The sequence below is a fragment of the Homo sapiens genome, chromosome 2 (genome assembly GCF_000001405.40).
Source record: "Homo sapiens chromosome 2, GRCh38.p14 Primary Assembly".
In the NCBI taxonomy this organism is placed as follows: Eukaryota; Metazoa; Chordata; class Mammalia; order Primates; family Hominidae; genus Homo; species Homo sapiens.
The window spans coordinates 34,405,224-34,410,983 of NC_000002.12; the positions used below are offsets into that span (position 1 = coordinate 34,405,224).

General features: G+C 36.0%; 1 annotated feature.

Moving 5' to 3' along the window:
• Window positions 2,818–3,320: an enhancer, noted in NCBI's record as "NANOG hESC enhancer chr2:34633108-34633610 (GRCh37/hg19 assembly coordinates)". NCBI's record gives its function as "activates a minimal SCP1, AML or CMV promoter by ChIP-STARR-seq in primed H9 embryonic stem cells {active_cell/tissue: H9 hESC(primed)}" and the evidence as "EXISTENCE:reporter gene assay evidence [ECO:0000049][PMID:30033119]".

The following is a 5,760-nucleotide window of genomic DNA, read 5'->3' on the forward strand; positions in this document are numbered from 1 at the left end:
TCAACTTGAATTTCTCTGTATCTATGTATTAGCATAGTTATTTTGGGAATTGTCTATGCCATTGGCAATTTGGTGAGAGTCGTGCTTTAAACCAGAGTTTGGCAGACTTTTTCTGTAAAGAGCTAAGCAGTATATACTAGGCATGTGGCCACTGTTTGGTTTCTCTTAATTACTCAGCTCTGTTATTGCAGTGTTAAAACAAATGACAAGGTCAGGCACAGTGGCTCACGCCTGTAATCCCAGCACTTTGAGAGGCCAAGGCGGGCGGCTCACAAGGTCAGGAGACCGGGACCATCATGGCTAATACGGTGAAACCTCGTCTCTACTAAAAATATAAAAAATTAGCCGGGCGCAGTGGCGGGCGCCTGTAGTCCCAGCTACTCGGGAGGCTGAGACAGGAGAATGGCGTGAACCCGGGAGGCGGAGCTTGCAGTGAGCCGAGATCGCGCCACTGCACTCCAGCCTGGGTGACGGAGCGAGACTCTGTCTCAAAAAAAAAAAAAGAAGACAAATTGTAAGCAAATGCATGTGTCTATGTTGCAGTAAAACTTTATCTACAAAGATGGTGGGTCAGATTAAGCCTGCAGGTAGTAGTTGCCTGCTTTCAACAGTTCTACATTAGACACTAGACGTATCTGGCATAGGTATTAGCCTCTATTTGGAACTAAATTATATGTCATAGCATTCCTAGTGTTAAGACAGCATTTTAAAACTCAATTGATTTGTAGAATAATAGGAATGCTTGATAGTAGAGGAATGATATAATTTCTAAGATGAGCATGGTTTGGAAATGTATGAGGCTAAAAGAAAGTCTGTAATTACTCGGAACTCCTTAGAGGGAACTGTTCAAGTATAACCTGTTGGTTATTATTAGTGGTTATTATTTTTGCAAAGAAGGGCATGGTTTCCAAAAGAAATATCAGTTTGTTGTACAATTTGGAATTAGAGTATATCGTTAATCTATTCATTTTAAAATTTGAGGACTTGACAATCTGTACTGGTAGTCAAAATCATACTCAATGGAACATAGGTGAAACTAGAGTGATTTTTTGTTGTTGTTGTTCTTTTCTGGTCTAACATGCAATGTTCTATGCAAATGAACACATCAAGGTTCTTATTAAATTTGATGGAACTTTGAAAGCGTGTGTGGGGAGAGCTACTCTATTTCTGGGGGCTCAGTAATTGCCTCTACATAGCATAATTATTATGATGCTTTTTAGGGTCTTAATTTTTTTCATTCTAGGTGGGTTTGGAACATCCATCTATATTTAACAATAGTTTAGGCCAGGCATGGTGGCCCACGCCTGTAATCCCAGCACTTTGGCAGGCCAACACGGGTGGATCATGAGGTCAAGAGACAGAGACCATCCTGGCCAACATGGCAAAACCCCATCTCTACTAAAAATACAAAAAAGAGCCCAGCGTGGTGGCACACGCCTGTAGTCCCAGCTACTTGGGAGGTTGAGGCAGGAGAATCTCTTGAATCTGAGAGGCGGAGGTTGTAGTGAACCGAGATCGCGCCACTGCGCTCCAGCCTGGTGACAGAGAGAGACTGCGTCTCAAACACCAAACAAACAAACAAACAAAACCCAAAGTTTAATTTTTAATTTTTCTGGTTGTTCATGTGGCTCCCAACATTTATTTTTGTTGTACGTTTAGTTCCTTGACTACTTTGGATGATTTTTTATTTTCACTTTGTATTTACAAATTTTAAAACACATGAAAGTTGAGAAAATATACCCCTAGCAATCATATTCAACAACGAATAATTCCCTTATAATCTTTTCTTACAATTTCATATATTTCTCTATTTTAGCTTTGGAGGAGCTAGAGAATTTTAAAGCTTGTCTTTGAAAAGTGCATCATGTGTTTCACCAATAAATACTTAATTATGATCTCCAACTGATACAGACATTTTAAAATAACCATCTTGCCACTATCGTATATCATAGTATTAAAATTTCCTGGAGCTGGGGAGGCAGAAGCTTCAGTTAGCGAGATAGCACCACTGCGCTTCAGCTTCGGTGACAGAGTGAGACTCATAAAAAATATTTTTAATTCTTTAATATTATGTAATATACAGTCCACAAATACATTTGCAAGATTGCTTTAAAAAGCATTTTATGGTGATTTGTTTAAGTCAGGATACAAACAATGTTTTACTATGACCCTATTCATTTATAGACTACTTGTTCTTGAAAAGAGCAGGGAGTTAGAAATAGATTGAACACCCTCTTCAAAGTCCTTCCCTAGACATGGCAATCCACTTACTGAAAACACGTACACAAAAACCTACATGGAGGAATTGCACATCTTTGTTGAAAAACAGAAATAAGGACTTTAAGATCAGGAACAAATAATTAAAATCTTAACAATTTATATGCTGACAAGTCATTGTTGCCTTCTCACCTCCAAAAGTATAAGCCCCAAAGCCTTTACTTAATCCAGGCCTCCAGATCTGTCCTGAGCTAAGATTCCAGGTTTATTTCTTTCTTCCCATGTTATCCTCTAGAAATTCTGCATTTCTTCAGACAGGACTCAGTCCACGCGTTCCCTCTATTTCTGTTGCTCTTCATCTCCCTCATTCATTGTTCTTTATGAATGAAAGTAAAAGGCACAGAACTTGAAACTACAGTTATGCCTCCCTGATTATAATTTCTCTTAAAATTCAAGAAGTCATGAGCCTACTGTGGTGTACTCTTACAGCATCTACACGAATTTCCTATGTCGTGTCCAAAAATTTTAAGTATTTTTAAAAATATTAAGGTAAAAAGAAGAAATAGATCATAATAGAATAGAGAATAAATCAGAAAGGCAGTGGTTCTGCAGTGAAGCTCATGGGAAAGATAAAGGAGAATGGAGAAAAGTAAACTCTGAGCCTAAAATTTTACAGCATCTCTGAAGAAAAGAGAAATAGCAAAAATATGTAAAAGGGATTGGTGATGGCCAAAGATACAGGAAGATGGGGGTCTAGAAATTAACAAATCCTGAGGCGTAAGTACAGTGACAGACACGTGGGTGGGAGGAATGAGTCATCTACCACAAAGAAAAACATTGTTAGTTACAATGTATAAGTATTCATGATAACTACTGGGAGGCAAACGATTGCAAATTGTCCTTTGAGCAAAGGATGGTGAATGACAATGGTGGGAGTGCCCATTAGTACAAATTTGAATGAGTGTAATTTCTCATTGCTTTTTTGAGTCATATTCCGTACTATAATCTAAGGAAAGTCCCTCCTGAACTGAGGTGAGAGTTTGCTTCCAAATCATAGGTTTCTGAGGGGATTCTTAGCCTGTCCTAGGCAATTGTCTGAAAGTTTAGTCCCAGTCCAGACTACCCCCTCCGTGTATGCTCAGTCTATAACAAGTAGCAGGGGAGAGTGATCTGTTTTAGGAAAATATTACTGGCAGAAGAACAAAGGTGGCTTCATGAACAAGTAGCCCCATGAGGAGGGGCAAAGTGGAGTCCGACAAACCATTAGATGACTATTGCAGAGTCAAACTGGAGATGACAAACTGGAACCCAAAATAAAATTGAACCATTCTGCTTTTATTTAGTCAAATTGCATTACTGCATGTTTGACCCCATTGCATAATAATATAAATTCTGATTAGCATAGATTTCCTAGAATTGACAGATAGCATAAAAACTATGTATTTCTTTCTTAATTCTAAGTTGAGCCAAGATTCAGCTGTTTCACTTCACATTCAGTGATTTTATTCATATATTCTTCACCTCTGAGAGCCAACATCAAGTTGAGTCTTGAGATTCCTGTCTTCTTAGCTCAAGCTTGTTCTTGCTTTTGCACATCTGCTCTAATTCCTAAAGCTAATTATATATTAAGGACAATAATAGTTTGACGAACGTGTTGGAGGTTCCTTTTTGGAATTTCCTGATGAGTAAATTTCTCTCTCTCTCTCTGAGTCTCCTAATAGCCTTGCATAAATCTCTGGCTTACACAGAGTTAATTTATAGTTTTTAAAGCTTGCTCTTAATAATGCTATTGGTAAAATCTAATTTAAAGGGCTACTCTTGGTCAAGTCTAGGTAAGGCCACTGTTAAAGTTGGAGTAGAATTTCATTATAGTATCTGTTTTCTGTGTCCTAGATCCTGTATATTTTTCTTAATCAAATGAAAGTATAGGTGAATTAACTCATTTGTATGAGCACTATATAAATAAAGCTGGGTTATTTAGCTTTAGAGATTATTTAGAGGTTGTAATCCTCTAAATGTATCAACTCTTTGGTACTAGCCAGACATGGAATCCACAAAAACAACATAGAAAAAATATGAAAATGTTTGGGGTTTAAAAAAAATCTAAACAGTATAAGTAATTCAAAACTTTATTGATCATGGGCCGGAAGTAATATGTTGCAATAAACACATTAAGATAATTAAATTAACATAGGAAAAAATTCTATAATAGGACAAGTGTCCTCTGTTGTCTTGTTACTTTGTATGGCCTTTAATGCATCTTGATGCCCCTCAGAAAGGGGTAATTGTTGGTGGTTGTGGCTCACCATAGAAATATATTTCTTGCCTATTCAAGTTGTCAATAAACAGAGATTGATAGAAGGAATATACCTGCATCTTAAAGCCTTTTCTTTTTATAATCACTAACATATTGTAAGTTTGTAGAAATAATATTATTCAAATCTGATTTTGGTACATTGTGATAAAATGTGTCTACATATTCTGAGAAAGATAACTGAATAAAAGGATAAAAATCACAGTAAATCCTATTAACTTTTAAAGATAAATAGAAAAGTTGTAAATCCTATATATTGCATTAGAAAATAACTATGAATAAAGAGCAAGAGGTTACAGACTAAAACATTTTTATTTCAACAAAGTCTTTCAAGCCTATAAATACAAATTAATTGTTCTTCTTTGGAACAATTAGATAATTTGGAGGTTTGACATTATGCATCTTGGAATAAACCCTAGGCAACTTCTGTTGCATTCATTAATGAAACAGCGTACATGTTTTCAGACACCCATTTGGAAATGTCACTTTGGCTTGTCTCTCCATGTAGAAAGGAAAGAGAGAAAAGCTTTTCTCAAATCAGTCATTAGTAAAAGTCAAAGAAAATAGAAAAATATACAATGGCAAACATTAAATATAATGCATAAATAAAAATGATATAACATATTCGGCTCATTAACTGTAAAAAAAATTAAATCTTTGTTTACTTAAGTAGTAATTTAACATGTAGCAGGATGATAGAATGTAGATCTAAAATTAAAAATATTTTGGGCTGGGCATGGTGGTTCATGCCTGTAATCCCAGGACTTAGGGAAGCAGAGGAGAGAGAATAGCTTGAGCCCAGGAGTTGAAGACCTGCTTGGGCTACATAGCGAGACCCTGTTCTCCACAAAAAGGAAAAAAAAAAAAAAGACAAAAACAAAAGATTTTAGAGATCACTTATTAAACACTCATGTGCCTCTATTTTAAACAAATAGTGAAGATTGATAAATTAGTACAGTTAAATCTCCAATTTTTTTTTCCTCTTTAACTCACATATTAAATTACAGTGTGAGGTAAGGAGATTAAGAGTCCTTTAAGAGAGAGGAGCAGGATGCTGGGAAAGGAAAAGATGAGAAATAGGACAATTATAACATTATTAAATTTGTGTAAATCTGACTTGGAACAAAAACCTAAAGAAGGCCAAATCATGTGAGATTAATATGCCGAAGTATTAAAATGGGACTCTTTTTCTAGCAGTTTACAATTGACAATAGAAATTAACATTCATG